We start from the raw sequence: 25,354 nt of genomic DNA on the forward strand, positions 1-25,354 counted from the left end.
ACCTTTGCCAACAGGATACATGGGATTAATTTTAGGCAAAAGCTGTCTTAACTTACAGGGCATTACTGTAGTCCCAGGAGTTGTTAATTTGGATTATGAAGGAGAAATTCAAGTAGTGGTAATGTTACAAGATCTTTGGGTTTTGAACTGGGAGAATATATTGCTCAACTGTTGCTTATCTCCTGCAAATTACACCCTTCTCCACGAAAGAAGAAACAAGGGAATCAAGGATTTGGAAGTACAACTCGGAGGGACATTTATCTATCACAACCAATAGCATCTAGTAGACCCACTTGTGCAGTGCAAATTAAAAGTTTTGTGGGCTTATGGATACGGGAGCAAGAGACTGGCCTCTGGCAGTAATGGATCTTGGAGATTTTTTTTTTTTACTATACCTTTACACGAGAAGGATAAGCCTCGATTTGTTTTCTGTGCCTTCTGTTGATTGGAGAAAGCCTGTTTCTCATTATCAATGGAAAGTTTTACCCCAAGGCATGCTCAGCAGTCCTACGTCATGTCAGCATTTTGTAGGAAAAGCATTAAGGAACCTCAGAATATGTTTCCCACTGCCTATAGATTTACTAACGTGGGGACGAGGGTATGCTTATGTTTTTATAGGAGATGGACAAACCATGTGGGTGCCCTCAAGGTGTGTGCAACCATGGAACAGGAGACTGGAGGGACCCATGGATCCCAACCATGGGCCTGGTTCCCCTGGTATGAGCCATGAGCCAGTTGAATCTGAGTGCAAAGACAGAGTGAGGACTGACCAGAGTCACACTGACATCAACCCCCATAACATGAGGACAGATTTTGTTCAATTAATGTAAAAACAAAAAGGGGGAGATGTTGGAGGCCGAAAGAATGAGGGTCATGATCAACTCAGTATACCACTGGAGGCTGTATGAGCAAACTGTTCTCATAATGCAGAATGCTGGCAAACTGACAAACTGCGTCTGCCACCCAGAAGGAATGCTGAGGGCAGTCACACCTCAGGCGCAGTGTTTGTGATTATCTACAGGCACACATGAAGCCTGTCAGCAATTATGTGAACCTGTGATAAATCAAGCAGCTGACCAAAGGTTACCTGCTCCTCCCTGCTCTTTCTACCCAATAAATATGGAGGGCTGTGGAAGCTCAGGGCCCTTGCTCACTAGAAGCAAAAGCAAGGACCCCTTCTTTAAAGCAGATTCTTTTGTCTTGTTTTCATTTCTGCATTTGTCCTCTTTTGTTCGGTCCTGTAGTAACTGTCACAAGTGGCGTACATCCTCCTTCATTCAGTCCCATAGTGACAGTCACACAAGTGCAGGTATCTTTTTGGTGGAACGATTTCTTCTCCTTTGGGTAGATGCCCAGTGATGGGATTGCTGGAATGAATGGTAGTTCTATGAGAACTCCCCAAACAGCTTTCCACGGGGGCTGAACTAATGTACGTTCCCACCAATAGTGTATAAGCACTCCCTCTTGTCTGCAACTTCACCAGCATCTCTTATTTTTTGACCTTTTAATAGCCATTCTGACTGGTGTGAGATGGTAACTCATGGTAGTTTTGGTTTGCATTTCTCTGATGATTAGTGACGTAAAGCACTTTTTCATACATTGTCACTTGTATGTCTTCTTTTGAGAAATGTCTGTTCATGTCCTTGGGTACAAGCACTTAGAAGGAGCATCTTCTGGGGATGGGGGAGTGTGCAGGGGCAAGACAGAGGAAAGGAAGACATCGCAGAAAACAAGACATGTTGCTCTGACTTCCATTCTAGTAGTCATCTGTGCTGTGCTCCCCAGCTCTCACTCTCTCCCAAAGCCATCCATCCAACCCCAACCAAAGAAAAGCAGAGCCAGAAGCCTTTGCTTTCACATTTAATCCAAGGAAAAAGAAAGAAAACCAATCAGTGAGAAAACTCAAGAATTGGATGGCTGAGGGAGGGAACAGAGGAAGCGCACTGGGGCTGGGACTGAATATGGACAGTGGATGGTAGGGTCCTCACTCTCTTGAGGTCCCTCAAATACAAGAGTCCACAATGGCAGGGAGGGAGAACAGAGTCATAGAGCTGTGGTGGGGGCACACACCTGTTCCAACCCAGCCCCAGCCCTGTTCCAGGTGAGCCAAGGACTGACAGCCTCTGCTAGGTACCTGGGAGGGCTGTGGAGTGAGGGCTCAGGCAGGGGAGGTAGGAGGCTGCTCAGAGAGGAAAGACCGAGAAGAGACAGGAGGGAAGGGCCCCAGGCCTGCCCCTTGAGCATCCCTAGCAGTGAAGGTGCCATGAAGGCCAGGTACCCAACCCATCTCCATCAGAGATGATGGTCATTTGGATCAAGGGGGCAGAAGCAGCTGCAACAACAGATCTTCCCCTGCCTCTACCCTCAAATCCCCCAGAGAAGGTAGGAAATGGCAAGTGACCCTATAGCCTCAGGTCAGCAAGAAAACACCCCATTTCCTTCCCACTCCCTTAGGCTGAGGGTGATGCAAGGCAGAGCTGAATCAGGATGAAAGGACACTGACTAAGGGAAAAGAGGAGCAGGAGAATGAGTGTGTAGTATACGCAGAGCCACACCAACGAGATGGGGGCAGGCCTGGCCTTTCCACCCCATGTGTATAGTCTATGCAAATGCAAATGAGATTCCTAGTATAAGAAATATATTCTAACATTTGTAATAAATATTCTGTTTATTCTCCTTCCCCTTCCCTAGGAAATGGGCACACAGTGGTTCAGGGGCCAGCTTTGGCTGACGCTGCAGCGAAGACTAGTTAGACACTTGGAAGAACTGGGAGGCACAAGGGTTTGGACTCAGGGTGTCACAGGTTGTCCCCTCTGAGGACAGGCTCCCCCCGGAAGGAATGCAGAGAATAATGAAGGATGAGATGCCCAAGTACATCTAGGACAGCATTCTTTCTTAAAGGGAGTCTCCTATTTTACAAAACTGCCCTCCCCAAGTTATGGCAGGGGGGCATTTAGGGTAGGGGGACAATAAGACAAGGGAGGAGACATCAGGAAAGGACCAGGGCTTTGGAGTCTGGGATCAGGGTATTATAAGAAATGAGGGCTGATGGGGAACCCCCAGAAAGGGGCCCCAAAGAGTGACCTCCAAAACAAAACCCTTTGCTTCCTCCCCAAATTAAACCTGACACACACACACACACACGCACGTGCACACGCACACACATACACACAACCTGGTGCCAGAGGCACAGACAGGTGCCGAACATGCACGTGGAACCACAGGTTGTACAGACTACAGTGTAAATGGCGCCTCTGGAGTTGTGTGTGAGGAACCTCCTGGAGGGCAACTGTCCTTCAAGCCCAGGCTCCCAAGGTCCCCTCTGCACTCCTCCTTAGCCCCTCCAACCCAGCAGCCCTGATGCAAGTGGGCTACCTGGACCTGGCTAGACAGAAAACCAAATGGACCAAGGTCAAGGACATAGAGCTCAGACCTGTGCCTGCTGTGGGCCATGGAGAGCTTGGGGCTCTTCAGTTGGTAACAGCAGGTTGTCACAGGGCTCAGCCCTCCATCCTGCCCCTACCTGGGCTGAGCCCACTGGCCCCTGCCAGCCTGGCCCTGTGGGGAGCAGGGCTGACCTGTCAGGACACATTGGAGAAATCTGGAGAAACTTCGGCAGTGAGAAGCTGTGGATGAGGGAAGGACCGAGCAGCATCTGCCCTGCGACCCTGTCCCTTTCCAAAGGAGCTGGGAGCTGCAGTGCTCTGCAGCTGTGGCCACTAGCTCTCACTCTGACTCCTCCAGCCTTCAAGATGGCACCAGGCTGGCACCACCACCCGGGCCTGCCTGGCTGCCAGCGGGCCACACATTCCCCTGGTCACACGGAAACAGCCCAAGGCCTGTTCCTCCGACACAGGGGTGAGAGGTGGGAGGAGTCCAGGAATGGGGTGGGTGTGGCCAGTCCAGAGGAGAACTGGTGACTGGGGAGGGGTGGCAGGGGGCAGTGTGCCTACTGACCATGTGGTCCCAAAGCAGCTTTTCTCTTCTCTGTACTGACCATTATGGAGGTGACTCTGACACATTCCTGGGCATAGCTTGGCCCTCAGAGATATCTGGTGACCAATGGGCATCAGGAGTGGGCAGCACCTGGGCACAAGGTACCCCATGAATGCCCACCTCCCTGGCAGTGCACGCCTCTGTGCTGAAGCCAGACTTAGGGCCTGCTGGGAGCTGTTACCCAAGGACAGCCAGATATGGGGGCTAAGGATTGTGGCAGGGGGTCACAGGTCAGGAGGGGGATGGATTCAGGTTCTGGGTTTCAACACAGAGTGAGCCAAAGACCAGGTGAACAGGCTCAGTACACCCAGCTGACAGGCACCCACTGGGGCTCTGTCCGTAGCTTCTCCATGGCTGTCTGGAGCTCGCGGAAGGTCCTCTCCAGGTTGCTATTGACCAGGCAGAGGTCAAAGTAGTGCCCGTAGCCCCGCTGGATGCGGCTGCTCTCCTCCACTGTCCGTCTCAGGTCCGCCTCCTGCCCAGGCACAAGGGGACCTCCCTACAGTCAGTGCCCACAACTCACCCCCACTGTCAGAAGGAGCTACAGCTGCCCCCACTCCCCCTCCCCAAAGCCCAACCCTGGTGTGGACTCCCTGGCTAGGGAGGCAGGGGCCCCTCTCTGCGTGCCTCAAAGTGGCTCACCATCAACCACAGATGGTGAGTGAAAGGGAGGAAATAAGCTTTAATAACTGCCAATCACACCCCTAAATGCTTTGCATGCCACATAATCTTCACTACAGCTCTGCAAGATAGGATTAATTCTTTCCCATTTATAGCAGAGAAAATGAAGGTATAAAAAGGTCACATAGCCAGTCAGTGGCTAAACAGGGTCTGCCTGACTCTCAAGCCAGTGCTCCCTCAAGTCTGACTAGGCTGCCTTACCTATGCAGCTAGACAGGCTGGTACCAGGGCAATCCACAAGTACCCAGGGCAACCCCACCCTCGACCCAGTGGAAGCTGGATGGGCAGGGGTGAGGAAGGGTACTTGACAACTGACTTAAATAAGCTGAAGCTAGCTGCATCCCAACAGCTCCAGTTGGCCACACCTGTTGCCAAGGAGGAGGTGCCCAGAATGGGGATCAGGCAAAGGTCCAGAGCTCCTTAAGGGGGTCATTGGCAGAAGGGTGCCAGCCTAGACAGCCTCTCCTGGGCCCCAGGCACGCTCTGACCTGGGGCCGGAATGCTGCAGCACCAGGCATGGCCAGCAGAGGGACCCCTGCGCTCAGAGCGCCGCAAACCCTCCACCTCCTGGGAAGGCGCAGCAAGACATAGGAAGGAGGATGGGGCTGGAGTTCTGCAATGAGGCCTTGAAGCCTCTCCTCCAGGCGCTGCCTGCTCCCTGACGCTGACTCAGCCCTCCAGCCAGCCTTCCCGCCTCTGGCTTTCTCCTACCCTTCAGCTTTCCCCCAGCTGTAAGCAACCCAAGCTCACCTGGCCCACCTCCAGCCCACCTCTCCCAGTTGCCCTCGGGAACTCTCTCTGGCCAGCACTCTGTCTCTGCAGAGTGGGCTGAGCCGGGGGCCTTGAGTCAGAAGCACATGTATCCCAGGCTAGGTGTGTGCCTGGCTCACTCTGAGACTTTGGACTTCCTCTCTCAGACCTCCCCTTCCACATCTATGCAGGGGGGACCACGTCCTGCCTCACTGATAACTGGAGCAGGCCCCTGTCCCTCCCCAACACCACCTCCTTCTCTCTGTCAGCTCAGGCCTGTCCCCCACCACCCTAGGCAGCTATCAGACCCCTCCCCCACACCTCAGAGCCCTCACCGTGAGCTGCTTGGTGGATATTCCACTCTCCAGCGCAGCCCTGTTCATGGCCCGCAGGGTCTCGAAGTCTGGGGCCTCGATGAACACCACGTAAGGGACAAACTCGGCCGTTCGTAGCACCTTCACCGCCTGCAGAAGGAGAAGGCAAGGTAGGGAGTATATCCCCATGTCTGTCCTAGGAACCAGAGAAAGGCTGTGAGGGTAACTGGGGTTGGGGTGAGCACTTGGGAGTGGATGAGAAAAGGGTGCCCGGGGGTCTGGGACATGAGTCCTGGGACAAATGACAAACAGCTGGCAGGTGGCTGGGGTGACTGGAGGAGACTAGAGGAGGAGTGGGGACTCTGGAAGGCTGAGAAAGGTTCCAGGTGGGCTGGGTTTCTAGCAGTAGTTGAGGGCAAAGGGGGTACATGGGCGTGTTCAGGTGACAGGTGTCTGGAACTATATGGGGGAGCAATGAGGCAGCAGAGAGGACATTGGGCAGGCTGGGAAGGAGCAGAGTGGCGGTACCTGGGGGTTGACATCCAGCACGCACACCTTCCCAGCAGCGACCACGCCCCGGATGGAGTCAATACGTGTGCCATACAGGTTGCCCTCGTATTCGCCATGCTCCAGGTAGCGCCCAGCACGGACGTCAGCCTCCATCTCCCCACGGGACACAAAGCTGTAACCCTGACCTTCCCGCTCTGAGTCTTTCGGCCGCCGGGAGGTGTCTAGGGGGATGGGGGTAGGTTGGACCAAATGGGCAGGGGCAGGTTACAGTGCCTCAGACACATATATGCACCCCTACCCAGGCCCCCGTTTCCCAGCCTTGGAGGTGCAGTCTGCTCCCCATCTTGCCAGCACTGCTGCCTTTGCACACACCTGCCCCCCACTCTCCCCATTGGCACACACAGAGACATGAGCTGGTAATCATGGTCCAGCCCAGAGCCCACAGAAGAGAGGCTGAGGTCCAGAAAGGGCAATGTACAGCCCAAAGCCACACAGCAAGAGCCAAGCAGACCAGGGCAGTGCTCTTAGTCCTGCCTCTGGCAGCCAGGAGCTTCCACCACCCCCGCTGTTTCTGCCACTAAGAAGCCCTGTCTTCCACAAGGCTACACACATGCAGCTCGTAGCCTGTTTCACCCGGGTGCACAGCTGGGCACTCACTTTCTTCATGGCTTTTAGCAAGTGAAACAAGAGAAGGAAAGTGGACGCCAGCCCAGCCCGCTAGGCCACCTGTTGGCTGGACACCTCCCTCACCCTTCCTGAGCCTGAAGTTCCCCTAACCACCCACAGAGGGCGTGCACCCCAACCCGTGTACCCAAAGGTACCACCTGGCCTGGTGCCCATGAAGATGCCCATTCGGTGGGCCCAGCCCTGGCCCCAGGGGAGCCCTGCTCCTTGTCCCCAACTCAGCAGGGCCCAGCTCCCACTCACAGGGCACCGTGGTGCCATAGCGATCTGGATCCCACATGATGAGCTTGTTCTTCAGGCTGCGCCGTCCCACGCCCTGAGCCCCAATCAGTACCAGGGTTTTCCGGCGGAACGGGGGCATGCGGGCCACCTCCTCATAAATGAGCAGCTCATGACGGTCAAACTCTGGACACAGGGAGATGGCGCTGCTCACCAGGCTGCACGGTGAGGGAGGGGCGGAGCTCTCAGGGAGGCTGAGGGCAAGAGGGCTTGGAACAGGGGAGCAGGGGGGAGTCGGGCAGGGCCTAGGGACACGGCTGGCAGCATCTGAGCCAGGCACACGTCGTCACAGGTGATGGGTGGGGACAGGGAAAGGCATGCCATGTTAGAGGAGGGTAAGGGAGGGGGCGCTCTGATACCCACCTGCATTCTTGGTGGTCAAATACATCATTCGCTTCTTTTTCTTTCCTGAAAGGCTGCCGCATAGGGTCCCTGGCCATAGGGAGATGGGTGAGTGAGGCAGACAGGGCCCTGTTGGATCCCAGATTGGAGGTGTGGGGTAGGGGGGACCTCCTACCTGAGTTTGGTGTCAGCTCCAGGTCCCTCTTGACAAATGCTTTCCGCTTCTCCTCCAGCAGCTGGCTGGGAATGAGCCCAGCACTGCCCCCTTCGACATGGCATGCCTAAAACGGACATGAGACCAAGATCTGCCTGAGCAAGAGGACCCCTCCCTGTGCCCTCGCCCTCCCATGCACCATACCTGGAGAGATGCGGGGGTGCCCGCAGCTCACCTGCCACCAGTTGGCATCATCCTGGTTTACGATCTGGAGCAAGTCCCCGGCGTTGAAGCGCAGGCCTGCTTCCTTGCAGGGGATGAGGCTGTCTCGGGCCGGGTCATAGTCAAAGTGACATTTCACAAATACCTGGGCCCAGGAATCAGCAAAGGGTCGGGGGAAGGGTCAGCAGAAGGCTGCAGGTGGAGGTCTACCCCATGCCCCCTCTTTTCACAGAGACTAAGGGGCAATGGAACTGTCCCCCTGCAGGAGTGATGCCTCCAGGCCTGCCCATGCTCCTCCCTGGTGCCAACCTCCCTTTGCATCTAGTACTACAGGATTCAGATCTCAGGACCAAGGATGCGGGACCACCAAGTAGGGCACAGGACCCTGGCACCTAATCCTGGATCCCTCCCTCCACTCACCCTCTCCCCTTGGAGAAGGGCTCTGGTGGAGGGCGAGAGACCCAATAGGATAGGGAGACAGAGCAGCCACACCCCCAGAATTGACCAACCAGGAGACAGCTATCCAGGACATATGACAACCCCACCCTGCGCACGCGCACAAACGTGAAGAACGCTGACCATAATGCAGGCGCTCTCTCATACACTTGTACCCCAGGCTGTGGCTGCGTGCATAATACCAGCCAATGTGGGAGCATGTGCAGGTGCAGCAGCGGCAGAGGCCTGTCGGCGGCTGCGGTCAGCTGCCCCTGGGCTGCAGGTCCCACCCCCATCTTCCCTGGAGGAAACCAGTAGGAGAGGAGGGCCTCCGTGAGACCTGCAACCTTGACAGCCAGGAGGCTCAGCCATCCCTTGGGCCTTGTGCTGGGTGAGGGGCCCACCTGGCGGGGCAGATGGGGCTCCTGGTAGCTGGGCAGGATCTTGAGGATGACACTGCCACTGGCATTGCGCAGGAGCTCCTGCAGTGCGCGGGGGTCACTGCCCACTGGCTGCCCGTTCACCTCCTTGATGATGTCACCCACATGCAGCAGGCCTTGTTGAGCCACCATGCCCCCATGCAGAATGCGCGCGATCACCAGCTCGCCGCCCTCCACGCGGAACGTTACACCCTGGAGGTCAGAGGGAGTGTAAGATGAGGCCCCAATTGCTCCAAGTCAGAATCTTCAAATAGTCTCCTAATAGCTCCTCCATTCCTGTCCCTACCCACCCACCCCCACCCTCACAAAGTCCTCCTCCATCCTTCTGCCTAAATTCTTCACTTACAGCAGGTACTAATGAGGGGAGAGGTGGGCAGACTGGAGAGGTGCGGACACAGGTGTGTGTGCAGTGTCTATGGTCTCCTGGGTCTTCCCCCGACCCTTTGCTGCATCAATCCTTCCCTGCACAAAGCTGGCCCCATCTTCATCTTCAGACCACACTTGGCCTTTTTTGTCCGTTCATTGGTTATTCTCAATCCCCCCACCCTCACCAGCACCACCTCTGGCCCTGCCCAGTCCTCACCAGATGTTCTCCGGCTGTCTTGCGGATGCCCACCATGCGCACAGCATCGGGAGGTACAGGCTGGTTGCTGAATGTAGGGTCCAGGCCAGGGCTGGGGGGTGGTGTCTCATAGGTCTTTGAGGCCACAGAGTCGTGCGTCTCCAGGAGGGACTGGGGGGTGGTGGGAAGAGAAGGGACAATGGGGCAGTGTCCCGGGTCTCTTCCCATCCCAGATCCAACTTCCTGCTGGCCCATCCAACAGCAGCATGCCCCAGTCCACCCACCTCCTGCTCCCTCACCCCAGCCCTAGCAGCCAGGAACCTGGAAGTGGGGCTCCTGGAGGATGTGGGCCAGCTCGGCGGCTGTGCTGCTCTGCTCAGCCAGCTGCGCCAGGTCCCGCAGGATCTCCTGCACCAGCTCCAGGTTGTTGTCTCTCACGGCCTCCAGCTTCGTCTCCTCCAGCCTCTCATGGGCCTGGGGGTGGAAGCAGAACAGGTGGGGCTAGGAGCTTCCCCAGGAGCCCTGGGACACCAAGCAGGGTCCTCCCTCAGCCCCCAGGCATTTTCCCCATCCCACCCCCCAGCCCCCAGCTTCAGCTCCTCACTCACTGACAATCATACCCACACGTGCACATGCATTCCTTGCTGTCTCCTTTCTTCCCCAAAATTACTAGGACCTAGTTTAGGGAAGGAAGAAACCAAAGGACAAACCTTCCTTTCCATCCCCTTGCCACAGAGGGTCATTAGAAGTTACCAAATTGTCCCCAGCTCCCAGGACCCTATATGCATTGGCGTTCAAAGATGGCTTCTTCCACCAGACATCATGGTTGGGTGGGGCCTTGAAGACCCTGAAGCCCAGGATGAGGAAATTAGGGAGGTAGAATAACTTTCCCAGGGTCAATGGGACTTGAACTTGCGTCTCCAGGCCCTCAACTCAGTGTTCCCAGCGAATGAGGGGACAGGAAATCAGAACACGGTGCCAGGAGCAGGCCCTGCACCTATTTGTTGCTCTGCTGGCTCCGGGCTCCATACCAAGGAGCGCTGAAAACAGAAAAGGAATCCTTCGCCAGTGACCAGCCCAGTGGGGAGTGTTAGGTTAGATGGGTCAGGAAGAAAAGAATTCCATTTCAATAATATATATGAAGACCATTTTTCCCCTCTGAATCTTTGAAAGATCATTGCAGACAACACAAGCCACTTTACCCCAAAGTATTTCAGCATGTATTTCATAGGAACAAAGACATTCTGCTGCATAAACCACAATACCATTATCACCTGCAAGAAATTTAACATCGATTCATTAATACATTATGTAAGACAGTCCACATTCAAATGTTCACTCTTGTCCCAAAAGTATCCTTTATAATTTTATTTTTTCTGATTCAGGATCTAATTGATGATCATATGTTGTAGTTGGTTGACATATCTTTTTATTCTCCTCTAATCTAGAACAGATCCCAATAACTTTTAGACTTTCAGAACATTTGTTGTTTTGTTTTTTTTGTTTCTGTTTTTGTTTTGTAGGGACAGGGTCTCACTACGTTGCCTAGGCTAGTCTCAAACTCTTGGCTTCAAGTGATCCTCCTGCTTCAGGCTCCCAAAGCCTGAGATTACAGGCATGAGCCACTGCACCCAGCCTAGACATTTTTAGACTCCAGGCCAGTAGTTTTTAGGATGCTCTACCACTAGATTTAGTTGATTGTTTCCTCATGATTAGACTTACGTTAATCCTTTTGACAAGAGTTCTACGTAGGTGATCTTGTGTCTTTGTGTCTTTCCCATACTTTGAGACTATGTGACTATTCTGTTCCCCCAAAATCCTTCACCAATGGATTTAGTGTCAATTTATGACCCTTGCCTAAATGAGTTATTATACTGGAGGTTGCAAAATAGTGATTACCTAATTCCCATCATTCCTTCTACATTATTGGCATTCTGCTATAAGAATGAGCTTTTCAGCCAGGCACAGTGGCTCACGCCTGTAATCCCTGCACTTTGGGAGGCCAAGGCAGGTGGATTACCTGAGGTCAGGAGTTTGCAAAACAGCCTGGCCAACATGGTGAAACCCCGTTTCTACTACAGATATAAAAAATTAGCCTAGCATAGTGGTGGGCGCCTGTAATCCCAGCTACTCAGGAGGCTGAGGCAGGAGAACCGCTTGAACCTGGGAGGTGGAGGTTGCAATGAGCCGAGATCATGCCATTGCACTCCAGCCTGGGCAACAAGAGCAAAACTCCAGCTCAAAAAAAAAAAAAAAAAAGAATGAGCTCTTCTTTTCTCCCTACCACCTTACTCCTCTTTCTCTCCTTCTCTCTCTCATGATATCACTATGAATTTTTTTTATTCCATGTGTTCTAATCCATTACGATCACTATCTTCGTTGACCCAGTTTATCCCAAATTTGTCCAGTGGGAGCCCCATTCACACCTCTGTCCTGTTGACATGTTCCCATCAGTCCTTGAGCATCTTCTTCCCTTCTGGCACAGGCTCATCTGATGCATTCCCTACCCCAGGTCTGGAATCAGCAATTTCTCCAAGGAACCCTGATTCCTTTTAGCAGGAGATAGTATTTAGAAACCAAGATGTGGACACTCAATACCCATTGTTTCTGGGCATCATTTCTTTGGCAGTCATTAGTAGATACTAATGGCTCCAAATAAAATTAAAGGATTTTTCTCATCTTCCCCCATTCCATATTTGTGTCTCCCTTCTCCTTCAGTGAGAACTTATTTCCCAATAACATCAGTATATTTACTTATTTGTTCTGTCCTTCAATATTCAAAGCAGTTTCAAAATTGCTATACAACTGCTACTACCTATCACAAATCTATTAGTAAAAATCAGCCGGGAAGGGTAGTAGGGGCGTAAGGGATAAAAGACTACACACTGGGTACAGTGTATACTGCTTGGGTGATGGGTGCATCAAAATCTCAGAAATCACCACTAAAGGCCAGGCGCAGTGGCTCATGCCTGTAATCCCGCACTTTGGGAAGCCAAGGCAGGAGGATCACCTGAGGTCAGGAGTTTGAGACGAGCCTGACCAACATGGTGAAACACCATCTCTACCAAAAATACAAAATTAGCCGGGCATGTGGCACATGCCTGTAATCCCAGCTACTCAGGAGGCTGAGTCATGAGAATCACTTGGACCCGGGAGGCAGAGGTTGCAAGGAGCTGAGATCGCGCCACTGCCCTCCAGCCTGGGCAACAGAGCAAGACTCTGTTTCCAAAAAAAAAAATTAAATAAATATATTGCCCTTTCTTACATAAAACACAGAACACTGTATATACCCTTTGATACCCTAGGGCTTTTATTTAACTGGTTTGGTTTTCTGGCTTTTTATTTAAAAATATGTCATAGAAATCACTCCATGAAACTGCATGGAGATCTTCCTTTATTAATTATTATTGTTAGTTTGTTTGAGACAGAGTCTTGCTCTGTCACCCAGGATGGAGTGCAGTGGCGCGATCTCAGCTCACTGCAACCTCTGCCTCCCAGGTTGGGATTACAGGCATGAACCACCATGCCCATCTTATTATTTTAATTACTGCATTTGACTCCATTGCATGACTGGATTCCTGTAATTTATTCAACCAGTCTCCATGGGTATTTAGGTTGTTTCTAATACTTTGCTATTGCAAATAATGTTGCAGTAAATGACTCCGGCATAGTATTCTATATCTGTGGAGAAGATCTTCCATGTAAATTCCTAGAAGTCTTGCTGGGTCAAGCAGCAAATACATACGTAATTTTCTTAGATATTGACAAATTCCCCTCCATGGGACTTTGGCCAGTTTGCTCTCCTGCTAGCACTGTATGAGGGATTTTCTTGAAGCTCACCACCAGAGTGTTGATCAAACATTTGCATGTCTGCCAATCACATGGAGGAGAAATGATCTCTCATTGGGGCTTACTTTGCATTTTGCTTATTATGAGTAAAGTCAAACATCTCTCCATATGATTAAGGACCATCTGTATATCTTTTTCTGTGAACTGTCTACTCATGTCTTTCCCAATTTTTCTGTCAGGTCTTGGTTTTTATTCTTTTCCCTATTTTAAAAAATGTTTTCTCTCTATTGGGAAAATTAGCCCTTTGTGATATTTCTTGTAAATGATTTCCCCCAGTTTGTCACTTGTCTTTTGACTCTGCTTGTGGTGTTTTTGCATGCAAAAAAAAAAAAAAAATTTAGGTCAGGTGCAGTGGTTCACACCTGCAATCCCAACACTTTGGGAGGTCAAGGAGGAAGGACTGCTTGAGCCCAGGAGCTCAAGACCAGCCTGGGTAAGATGGGAAGCCCCTGTTGCTACAAAATATTTTAAAAATTCACCTGAGCATTTTTAATCCTCATTTTAATGCATGGTGGCATGCACCTGATGTCCCTGCTACTCTTACTTGGGAGGCTGAGGTGGAAGGATCACTTGAACCCAGGAGATTGAGGCTGCAGTGAGCACTGTTTGCACTACTGCACTCCAGCCTGAGTGACAGAGCAAGACCCTGGCTCAAAAAACAAATTTTTTAATGTGGGTGAATTTAATAATCTTTCATGCATCTGAATTTTGAGGCATAGTTTTTTGTTTTTTTGTTTTTTTTTTAAGGGAGGGCTTTTCCCATATACAGAGCCTTGTTTTCTTCTAGGACGTGTATGATTTATATTTTCACATAGAGATCTCTGATCCGCTTGGAGTTTATTCTGATATATGATGTGAGGAATAAATACACTTTGATATCTTTCAAAATGACTATCCAGATGTTCCAATACCATTTATTAAAAATTCATGGCAGGGCACAATGGCTCACACCTGTAATCCCAGCACTTTGGGAGGCCAAGGCAGGAGGATCACTTGAGCCCAGGAGTTCAAGACAGCAAGACCCCATCTCTATTTTTTAAAATTTTTTTAATTAAAAAAATTCAAAAGAAAACTATTGTTTGATTTTTTTTTTAGGTGTGACAATAGTAGTGTAGCTTTAAAGAATCCTTTTCAGTTGAGCCCAGGAGTTTATATACACAATGAAACACTTGCAGATACAATCTATTATGGCTGAGATGTACTCCAAAACAATGGAGGAGAGAGGGAAGCTGGTAAAGGTGTGGATGAAACAAGATTATGCATGACTTGTTGAATGTTGAAGTGGGGTGCTAGGTGATGGAGGTTCAGGATATATTCTTAAATTTTTTCATAATAGAAAATTTGTTTAGCCATGAGATGGTGAGATTTGAGTAATACTTCATAAGACTGCTGTGAGGATTTGGTGAGATGGACATAGTGCCTGGCAGACAGCAGGTGCTCAATAAAGGTTAGATGCTTTCTGCCTTCTCTTTTCCCAAACAGGCCAGGGAACAGCACCCCACATGGCCCCACAGCCTCCCATACCATCCTCTGCCGGGTGGGCAGCATTTTAGACTGACATCCACAACCTACTGGGGAAACAGACAACTGATGGGGCAGAGGAGTAGCATTTGGGGAAAGGAACAAGCCCCAGAGGGCTGGTCTTCCACAGACCCCTATGTGACTTTCAGTCATTTAGCTTGGCCCAGCCTATGGAGCCCCAGAGTGAGGGAGGCGTCCCAGCTCTGGCTCTGTTACCCTGTGCCTAGGACAATGTTGGAATCAAAGCCCAAATAACTGAGTGTCAAGAATAAACAATGGCACTCAGGCAGCAACAATCTCACCATGGCAACCCTTGCATGGCTCTTTTGGGTTAACAGGAGCCAGCTCTGGCACAGGTGTCCTGATGTGAGCATTAGAGAAGTCACTCATTTTGACTTTAGCACTATCTGGTCCACGGATGGAGGACAAGTTTTCCGAGGAGACGTGTGTGATCAAGGGGGAAGCCAGGGTGCCTCCTAAGCTGCTTACCTCCTATCTTTGACTTAATGACATTCCCACCATGGGCTAATCCATTCCTCCTCCTGTGGCCACCCCTGGACGTTTTATACCCACAGATATGAAAGCACAGCTCTCCAAGCTCAACCTCATAGCCCAGAGGAAACTTTAAACATTTAATCATTCAAATACAAAACCAACAATTCAGTAGGCTGAACAAATAATTTTTTTTTTTTTTAGACGGAGTCTCACTCTGTAGTCCAAATTGGAGTGCAGTGGCACAATCTTGGCTCACTGCAACCTCCACTTCCTGGGCTCAAAAATTCTTGTGCTTCAACCTCCCGAACAGCTGGGACTACAGGCACGCGCCACCACCCCTGGCTAATTTTTTATATTTCAGTTGAGATGAGGTTTCACCATGTTGCCCAGGCTAGTCACAAACTCCTGAGCTCAGGTGATCTGCCTGCCTCGGCCTCCCAAAGTGCTGGAATTACAGGCGTGAGCCACCACACCTGGCCTAAATTAGATTTTTTAAATGATATAACAAGGATCTAAGAGAACCCACCACCCAAACTAAAAAACAAAGCTCTTGTCAATATCCTACATCTAACCACATGCCCCACTCACCCTTCCCACTTGCAGAAATCACCATCTTTTTTTTTTTTTTTTTTTTGAGACAGAGTCTCGCTCTATCGCCCAGCCTGGAGTGCAATGGCACAATCTCGGCTCACTGCAACCTACACCTCCCGGGTTCAAGTGATTCTCCTGCCTTAGCCTCTCGAGTAGCTGGGATTACAGCATGCACCAACACACCCGGCTAATTTTGTATTTTTAGTAGAGACGGGGTTTCTCCATGTTGGTGAGGCTGGCCTTGAACTCCAGACCTCAGGTGATCCGCCCGGCTCAGCCTCCCAAAGTGCTGGGATTACAGGCATGAGCCACCATGCCCAGCTGAAAGCACCATCTTGATTTAGTGTGTTTGTCATTCCCTGGCTTCCCAGTTAAAGAGTTGTAATGTGTCTGTATGTATTCTACATACTTCTGAAATTCTGAAATGAATATAGTTAATAAAAAGGGAATTGTGTCTGTCCAAATGCGTTTTTTTTTTTGTTTTTTTTTTTTTGAGACAGAGTCTCACTCTGTTGCCCAGGCTGGAGTGCAGTGGCGCAATCTCGGCTCACTGCAACCTCCGTCTCCCGGGTTCACACCATTCTCCTGCCTCAGCCTCCCGAGTAGCTGGGACTACAGGCATGCACCACCACGCCTGGCTAATTTTTTGTAATTTTAGTAGAGACGGGGTTTCACCATGTTAGCCAGGATGGTCTCGATCTCCTGAACTGGTGATCCACCCACCTCGGCCTCCCAAAGTGCTGGGATTACAGGCGTGAGCCACCGCACCCGGCCGTATTTTCTATGACATAAAAAAAGGGGGGAATCATGATTTTATCCATCCCTGGGGTCTGATTTTTTTTCACTTAACATTAAGTGAACAATTATTTCCCTTACTGCTTTTTTACTCACTATTATTTTGCTAAGACTTATTCTTCTTTTTCATGTTAAGTGACACATGGCCCAGAACTAGAAGAGTGATTTGAATTTCTGTGGTAGCCATTCATTTCATTCTGCTCTGAAAATTATCCTCAGCAAAGCAGGGGCTCAAGCTCATGGTAGACCAGAAGCTTAAGTGGGAGACACAGCTAGTTTATAGTGGCACCAGCCTGCACTCTGTTCTGTTTGCTCCCAATCCAGAGCTGTAGCAGGCTGCAAATGCAAACACTACACAGTCATTTCACTGAAAAGTTTTCCCTCTGCCCTCCACTCCAACCCCCCGATCATGGCAAAAGACAGGGAATTCCTATTTGAAGCCCTGGTTCATAATTAAATAGTTAAATTAAAAGATGTCCCAGAGAGTAGTGTGTCAGAAAGTAAAGGAACTCTTTAATCTGGGTTTGACAGATGTGACTTGCTTTAGCCAATGGGCCATTATCAAATGTGAGCAGAGGCTTAGAAAGTGCTTGTGACTGGAGGCTTGTCCTTCCTTGCTTGTGAGACTACCATGTGAAGGTGGCTGAGGATGAGAGACCCTCCTAGAGGATGAGAGACCACATGGAAAGGGGTCTGGCCATCCCAGACATTGCAGTTTTCCCAGCTAAGACACCAGACATGTGAGTGAGGCCATCCCGGACCACCCAGCCCCAGCTAAGCAAGCCCAGGCCAGAAGAACCACCCAACCAACCCACAAAATCAGGGGAATTAAATCACAGTTGTTTTAAGCCACGACACAGCACGATGGTTTGTTACACAGCAAAAGTGAACTGATACACTGGCCTCACCACTACACCCTCTGCTTGTCATGTCCCCTTGTCAGAGCCCCTATCTTAGTGACCTCCCTAGACCTTTATTCTTCTAGGGCCCTGTCTTGCTTTCCCAGGTCTTCCACCCTAGCCTCCCCACAGAACAAGAGGCCTCCCTGTGAACTCTAGTCTGAAGCTAAGATTATAACAACTCTTCCTGATTCAAAAATCACTTCTGGCCGGGGTGGCTCATGCCTGTAATTCCTGCACTTTGGGAGGAGGCCGAGGTGGGTGGATCACCTGAGGTCAGGAGTTCAAGGCCAGCCTGGCCAACATGGTGAAACCCCATCTCTACTAAAAATACACAAATTAGCCGGGGATGGTGGGCCTGTAATCCCAGCTACTCGGGAGGCTGAGGCAGGAGAATCGCTTGAACCTGGGAGGCAGAGGTTGCAGTGAGCCGAGATTGCACCATTACACTCCAGCCTGGGCAACAAAGCAAGACTCCGTCTCAAAAAAAAAAAAAACTTACACTTCCATAACCTCCACCTAGCCCCACCACGACTCTGAGGGATAGGTATCATTCTCCCCACTTCTCAAAAGAAATAACTGGGCTGGGCATGGTGGCTCACACCTGTAATCCTAGCACTTTAGGAAGCCAAGGTGGGAGGATCACTTGAGCTCAGGAGTTCAAGACCAGCCTGGGCAACACGGTGAGACCTCACCTTTCTTTTAAAATAAATACATAAAGAAATATTAATTTTTTAAAAATTCCTCCATAAGAAATAACTGAAGTTCAGAGAGGTTGACAGATATACCAAACTCACAAAGCTGGTCAGTGGAATCTTCTGACTCCAAGCCCTGTGTTCTTTCTTCTTCATCTCATGTGAATTAGTTCACAACAGCCTTCACATGCCTCTCAGCTGTCCCCATTAGTAACAATTTTTCTGAATTTCTGAATGTCCCCTGCCTTGGATTCCTCACCTTGGCCTTGTCTGTAGCTGGAACACCTGCTACTGGATCCATGTCAGCCGTCCCAGATGCCAGCCACCTGCCAGGGCCGCCACTTGCTGTGTGCAGCCAACCGCCTGGACTTCTGATCTCTCTGCCAGACTTGACTTCCCTTAGGGCCTTTAACCCTCTGGGTTTGTATCCTCAGGCCCTGTCCCTCCCTGGTCCCAGATCTACCCAGCCTGGCCCCTCCTACACTGTCTGCCACATCCCCAGACAGAGTCAAGCCCAGCTCCACAGCGTAAGGGAGGGAGGCCAACAGCTACCACATGTGGCTCCAATCTGATTTCATTCCTGTGGGTTTCTGGGCCACTTCACGAAGTTTTTGCAGCTGGATCTTTGATCACAGTGCTTTGTCTATTAGGTTAGAAATTTGTCTGTGTACACATAATGATTAAAATTGGTGAGAAGGAGGAAGTAGGTCCCATTGTCCAATGCAGGGAGCTCTGAGAGACACTGTCTTTGATGAGAGGAGTGGCAAATTTACATTGCAAAGGCTCACCCATACAAGGACAGAAGAAATGAATGGCTTTTTTTTTTCCAGTGGGCTCAGGTAGGCTCCTTTATGGAGATTCACTTCCTGTTTGTTTCACAACCACAGGGAGAAAGAAGTTACTGGATTGCCTTAGCCCATTAGCCTCATACTGGGGGTCTCAGAGGGGAAGAAACGTCCATACTCTCTTCTATTGTGCTCTACAAATCCGGAACCATACCAGGAATTTCTTGGAAAAAATCCTGACCAGCTTCTCGCCAAAAACGTTTCCAGAGAAGGGAGTTTACTTACAATGTGACACAGCACATTGGTTCATTTTCAATTAGGCTTTACTGTGAGGTCCCAGGACTGGGGCATTGTGGTGTCCAGTGAAAGGAAGACAGACTTGGGCTTCATCAGGAAAACAAACTATCTGGCAGTTCACTGCCATAACCCCAGCACTGTGCCTGGTATGTGGCGAGTGCAAAATAGGTATTTGATGGATGGATGGATGGATGGATGGATGGATGGATGGATGGATGGATGGATGGACAAATGAGTGAATGACATAGCCAGCCAGCCAGCAAACCCATCATTAGAGAGCTGTCGAGTGGACTGTCGAGTGGACTGGACCAGAGAGGAATGCTATCAAGGGGGACCCTGCTTTGAAGGGTATTGGCAAGAGGGCTGTCTCATTCTGAGACTCTGCCATCACAAAGCAGAGTCTCACTGTCTCACTGTGGAGACAATAGCTAAAGTACCCAGAGGTGATGTGGGCTCATAAACCCAACTCTGAAATCAATTTTGGAAAGTTACAGATGTTGAGGTTCAAAACTGCACATATTCATCAATTTCATTGCCAAGTGTCCATTCTAGAGAAACCCTCATATGCATGCAGAAGCAGATGGATATGAGGATGTTCACTGCAGCACTGTTTTTAAGACAGCAAAATCAGCAGTGACATACACATCTCTCAGGAAGGGAACCAATAAACAAACAGCTCTATTCATATATTAGAACAGGGGTCCCCAACCCCCAAGCCATGGACCAGTACTGATCCGTGGCCTGTTAGGAAGTAGGTGAACAGCAGGAGGTGAGCAAGCATTACTGCCTGAGCTCCACCTCCTGTCAGATCAGTGGTGGCATTAGATTCTCACAGGGGCACCAACCCTACCGTGAACTGCACGTGCCAGGGATCTAGGTTGTGTGCTCCTTATGAGAAGTCTAACAAATGCCTGATGATCTGAGTGGAACAGTTGCATACCAAAACCACCCCCCTCACCCTGATCCGTGGAAAAATTGTCTTCCACAAAACTGGTCCCTGGTGCCAAAAAGGTTGGGGACTGCTGTATCAGAACACCACACCGCAGTTCAAATGAATCTCCCTATCTCTATCTATATCTATACTTAGGTCGATAGCTGTACTACTTGTATGAAATAGAAATCTCAAAAACAGAAGCACCTTACACTATCATTTCATTTATATAAAATTTAAAAGCACACGTAATGGCCAGGCATGGTGGCTCACGCCTGTAATCCCAGCACTTTGGGAGGCTGAGGCAGGCGAATCATGAGGTCAGGAGTTCGAGACCAGCCTGGCCAATATGGTGAAACCCTGTCTCTACTAAAAAAAAAAAAAAAAATACAAAAATGGCCAGGTGCGGTGGCTCACACCTATAATCCCATCACTTTGGGAGGCCAAGGCAGGCGGATTGCGAGGTCAAGAGATCGAGACCATCCTGGCCAACATGGTGAAACCCCATCTCTACTAAAAATACAAAAATTAGCTGGGCATGGTAGCGCATGCCTGTAGTCCTAGCTACTTGGGAGGCTAAGGCAGGAGAATCGCTTGAACCCAGGAGGCGGAGGTTGCAGTGAGCTGAGATTGTGCCACTGCACTCCAGCCCAGTGACAGAGTGAGATTCCATCTCAAAATATATATATATATATATATATATATACACACACACACACACACAAAAATTAGCCGGGCATGGTGGTGCATGCCTGTAGTCCCAGCTACTCGGGAGGCTGAGGCAGAAGAATCGCTTCAACTTGGGAGGTGGAGGTTGCAGTGAGCCGAGATTGCGCCACTGCACTCTAGCCTGGGCAACAGAGTGAGACTCCAGAGGAAAAAAAAAAAAAAAAAAAAAGCACACATAACAAAGGTAGAGCCAGTCATGGTGGCTCATGCCTATAATCCCAGTGCTTTGGGAGGCTGAGAGGATTACTTGAGGCCAGGAGTTTGAGACTAGCCTGGACAATGTAGCAAGACCCTGCCTCTACAAAAAAATTTAAAGATTAGCCAGGCATGGTGGTACATATTTGTAGCCCCAGTTACTCAGGAGGCTAAGGCAGGAGGGCAGGAGGATCATTTGAGCCCAGGAGTTCCAGGCTGCAGTGAGCTATAATTGTTCCACTGTACTCCAACCTGGGAGATGGAATAAGACCCTGTCTAAAAAAAAATCCCACAAAGGTATATTGTTTACAGCTAAACACATATGTAGGCAAGATAAGCCAACATTCAATGAAATGACATCAATCTCTAGGCAGTGGTTACCTGTGGGAAGGGAATGCAGTGAAAATGAGGAAGGGGAGAGGCATTAACTGTGCCAAACTTTTTATTTATTTATTTATTTTTTTTTTTGAGACAGTGTCTCACTCGGTCACCCAGGCTGGACTGTAGTGGCATGATCATGGCTCATTGTAGCCTCGACCTACCCAGCTCAAGCAACTCTCCTGCCTCAGCCTCTTGAGTAGTTGGGACTACAGGTGAATGCCACCATGCTTAGCTAATTCTATTTTTTTATAGAGACAGGATTTCACCATGTTGATCAGGCTGGTCTTGAAATCCTGAGCTCAAATGATCCACCCACCTTGGTCTCCCAAAGTGCTGGGACTAAAGCTGTAAGCCACACCGTGCCGTGTGCCTCATACTTTTTATTTCTTAAGAAGAAATGGCAAGAGTCAAAACAAACATTATTAACATTTTGGAGATGGGTACTCAGGAGTTTGTTATTTTTTTATGCTCTTTTGTATTTATTCATTCAACAAATATTCAGTGAGCACCTACTATGTGTCAGGCATTTTGTAGGCTCTGGGGATACTGCAGTGAATCAAAAAGACAAACATTCCTGCCTTCATGGAAGTCTCTATGTTTGAAATGTGTATAATTGTTATTATTTATTTACTTATTTATTGAAGACGAGCTCTCACTATGTTACATGAACTGCACTTGAGCTTCTTGGCCTCAAGCAATGCTCTCACCTCAGCCTCCAGAGTAGCTGGGACTACAGGTGCATGCCCCTACTCCCAGCTTCTTGTCTTTATCTTTAGTAAATGAGTAGGATCTTCGATTGCTGAATGAAAAGCACCCTGCCTTTCTCCAATCTCCTCCAATCTGCTCAGTTTTCTCTTCCCCAGAACTTCCCACTATTAAACCTCTGCAACTTTTCATCTTTCGCTGTTAACAATCTTCCCAAGTCTTCAACCATTCCACAGATAATGTGAATAGGCTACAATCCAAGGACATGGTGTCCCCTGCAGCAGCAATCCCCACTCCAGTGGGACGTGGTCCTCCACATCCCATGCCAGGGCCAGCCATAGCCAGCCTGTGACAGAGTCCCCGCTCTACAGAAAACCCACCACCTGGCTATACCTTCTTTCTCCCTACCCTTGCTGTCATTGCCGACTTCCTGGTCACCTCCACCACCATGCACTGAAAACCCTGGGGACTGCCTCAGTCTTCTCCCCACCCTGACGCCTGCCATAGCCCTACATGCCAATAGGTGTGTGGACAAGCCCATCCCACTCCTGAGCCTTCCATTTCTGGGTGTCTTCAACACTGATGACCTACCTGTCCACTGCAGCCCCACCCTACATTATCATGGCATCCCTAGAACTGTCCTCCTTGGAAAACTTTCACCTCCTACCTCCCTTCCTCTGACCTTGGTCTTTTTCTCTTCCATCTATATCCCTACCATCACCCCTCAAATACTCTGTGACCTCAGAGAGCCACCGAGCCTTCACCTCCATTTTCTCCCTGTTCTGCCTCTTTCCAGCCTGGGCCTCTTTTCTCTGAGCCTCTCTCACCAGCTCCCTTCACAATTCCCTGCATCCGACTTCCACAGCCCCAGGCCAGCACGTGCCCTGGACCAAAGCCCCCGCTCCTTTCTCTTCCTCTCTGGATGGAGTCACCCCCACCCTGGGAAATCGGGCACCTGACATGGACAGTCGAGGTCCCCATCCATTTAATTCCTTCTCCCTTTCAGTGACCAGTCAAACCTTCCCTTCTGAATCTTCCTGCTCCATCTCTGATCCCTAATTCCCAGGAGAGGACTGCTCCACCTTCACCAAGAAATCTGAGCAATTAGGTCTGATTTCCCACAGCTCCCAGCCTTGCCTCCAACGCAGCCATGGGCACCATCCCCACCTCCCCCCCTCAGGAGAGGGGGCATCCTTCCACACTCCCTGGGGCAGGATCCCAGGTGCCTTACTGTACCCTAGCCCTTACTGCCAAACACCAAGTTCCACCAGTTTACCCTAAGGTCTGGGACCACAGCTCCATTTCAGGCTCTCAGCATCTTATACTCAATCCACTGAAGAGCCACTAACTGGCCTCTCCAACTTCAGATATAACCCCCCAACAGTCCTCCACATGGCTGCCAAAACACCCACATTTGGCCATCATATCCCTGCTTAAATAATGTAAAGCCTGCCAGGCACAGTGGCTCATGCCTGTAATCCCAGCACTTTGGAAGGCTGAGGCAGGCAGATCACCTGAGGTCAGGAATTGGAGACCAGCCTGACCAACATGGAGAAACCCCATCTCTACTAAAACTACAAAATTAGCTGGGCGTGGTGGCACATGCCTGTAATCCCAGCTACTCGGGAGACTGAGGCAGAAGAATCACTTGAACTCAGGAGGTGGAGGTTGCAGTGAGCCAAGATCACGCCATTGCACTCCAGCCTGGGCAACAAGAGCAAAACTCCTTCTCAAAACAAAACAAAACAAAAAAAACCATAAAGCCTCCCTGATACTCACAGAAGGATGCCCAAGCACCCACATACAGCCCCCAGTGCCCTCCAGACCTGCCAACCTTTGCACAGCTCGCATTGTCTTACACTTGAGGCTCAGCCTCACACCAGCCCTTCCAATCCCCTGCACACTCCTGACTCTTTCTTACCTCTGTGCTTCTGCTCAAGCTCTTCTGTGGCCCAGAATGCCCTCCCCCTCTTCCTCATTCTTCCACTCAGCTCAAGTGGTCCTTCCTCCAGGAAGCCCTCCTCACCCACCCCAGGCTGGGTTAGACACCTGTCCTTTATGCTCCCAAAATGCATAGTGTATCCACCTCTATCACTGTCATTACCAAATTGTCCTATAATTTTCTCTTTTAGTCAATCTCTCCCCAACCTGATACATGGCAGGTGACCTTAGAAAGACATACACACAAAACGCCCAAAGGCAGAAGGACAGGCAAGATGAATTCTAGAGATTCTCCAACATGTGCATGCTAGCCCGCACCAATCACACACTCCACAAGCTGGCAGTCAACAAACATCCACCCACGCACTCACCAGACAGGTGTGGGGGCAGCCCCCTCTACCTGCAGCCACTCAGGTCATCACCTGGGCATGATTTTCTTCTACAATCCCCTTCAGGGGGGCCTCTTGTGCCACATGTCCCATTCCCAAAGCCCTCTGTAGCTAATACCCCATCCCCTACTGTGCCTCCCCAAGCACAGTGCCCTTGTGCCCACCTCCCTGGAGCACTGTACCTTGGCCAGGGATCTTACTATGGGACTTTCCATAATGCCTCGAAGGAAGATCAGGTCCAGCTCTGCAGCCCCCGTGGCACTGGGGAGGGATCCCAAGTTGTCCAGGACTTGCTGCATGGCTGGGGGAAGGTACGGGCAGTGAGATACACAGGTACCAGCTGGGTACAGAAGACCAAAACACACCACAATACTTGCCACTTCCCCACCCCCATGTCCCACAGAAGGCAGCCCCTCCCCGGCAACATTCCCCTCCCTGCCCAGCACAGGCACCCCAGGCCCTTGAATGCCTGGGACAGGGATCCTGGAGGAAGGGGACAATTTCCTTGGCCTGTTCTCTCCACCCTAGGTAATGCCAGCCTGAGCAGGTGGGAGGCTCCAGGCAGCTGGAAGAGACTCTGAGGTGGAGAGAAGGGAGAAAGGGAAGCAGGTGTCAGGTTGCAGATCCTGCCCTGCACCAGAAAACCACAAGCTGTTGGGTGGATCACTTGAGGCCAGGAGTTCAAGACCAGCCTGGGCAACAAGGCAAAACCCCATCTCTACTAAAAATACCAAAATTAGCCAGGCATAGTGGTGTAGGTCTGTAATTCTAGCTACTCAGGAGGCTG

At 50.3% G+C, this 25,354-nt stretch overlaps 1 protein-coding gene across 15 annotated transcripts in view, besides 3 other annotated features; it reads right to left on the reverse strand.

Moving 5' to 3' along the window:
- Positions 1-1,847: 1,847 nt before the first annotated feature.
- Positions 1,848-25,354, reverse strand: part of MPP2 (MAGUK p55 scaffold protein 2) — a 34,352-nt gene continuing 10,845 nt past the window's right edge. For 10 of the 15 annotated variants that reach the window (NM_001278371.2, NM_001278370.2, NM_001278373.2 and 7 more), the window contains 11 exons: positions 24,750-24,868; positions 9,691-9,843; positions 9,391-9,540; positions 8,772-8,999; positions 7,946-8,077; positions 7,732-7,837; positions 7,578-7,646; positions 7,179-7,340; positions 6,270-6,472; positions 5,763-5,891; positions 1,848-4,471 (listed from right to left, as the gene is read on the reverse strand). In NM_001278371.2, coding sequence (NP_001265300.1) covers positions 4,295-4,471; positions 5,763-5,891; positions 6,270-6,472; positions 7,179-7,340; positions 7,578-7,646; positions 7,732-7,837; positions 7,946-8,077; positions 8,772-8,999; positions 9,391-9,540; positions 9,691-9,843; positions 24,750-24,866 — 1,626 coding nt within the window. In that variant the 5' untranslated portion in view covers positions 24,867-24,868 and the 3' untranslated portion in view covers positions 1,848-4,294. Of the gene's footprint in view, positions 4,472-5,762; positions 5,892-6,269; positions 6,473-7,178; positions 7,373-7,577; positions 7,647-7,731; positions 7,838-7,945; positions 8,078-8,771; positions 9,000-9,390; positions 9,541-9,690; positions 9,844-10,571; positions 10,644-24,749; positions 24,869-25,354 lie in introns of those variants that run through there. The other 5 variants (NM_001278372.2, XM_011524827.3, NM_001278374.2 and 2 more) reach the window with 4 other exon arrangements.
- Positions 5,069-5,363: an enhancer, noted in NCBI's record as "tiled region #5434; K562 Activating DNase matched - State 12:CtcfO". NCBI's record gives its function as "activates a minimal TATA promoter and a strong SV40 promoter by Sharpr-MPRA in K562 cells {active_cell/tissue: K562}" and the evidence as "EXISTENCE:reporter gene assay evidence [ECO:0000049][PMID:27701403]".
- Positions 8,235-8,736: an enhancer, noted in NCBI's record as "H3K4me1 hESC enhancer chr17:41959115-41959616 (GRCh37/hg19 assembly coordinates)". NCBI's record gives its function as "activates a minimal SCP1, AML or CMV promoter by ChIP-STARR-seq in naive H9 embryonic stem cells {active_cell/tissue: H9 hESC(naive)}" and the evidence as "EXISTENCE:reporter gene assay evidence [ECO:0000049][PMID:30033119]".
- Positions 8,737-9,236: an enhancer, noted in NCBI's record as "H3K4me1 hESC enhancer chr17:41959617-41960116 (GRCh37/hg19 assembly coordinates)". NCBI's record gives its function as "activates a minimal SCP1, AML or CMV promoter by ChIP-STARR-seq in naive H9 embryonic stem cells {active_cell/tissue: H9 hESC(naive)}" and the evidence as "EXISTENCE:reporter gene assay evidence [ECO:0000049][PMID:30033119]".

Source organism: Homo sapiens, chromosome 17, assembly GCF_000001405.40.
Source record: "Homo sapiens chromosome 17, GRCh38.p14 Primary Assembly".
Taxonomy (NCBI): domain Eukaryota; kingdom Metazoa; phylum Chordata; class Mammalia; order Primates; family Hominidae; genus Homo; species Homo sapiens.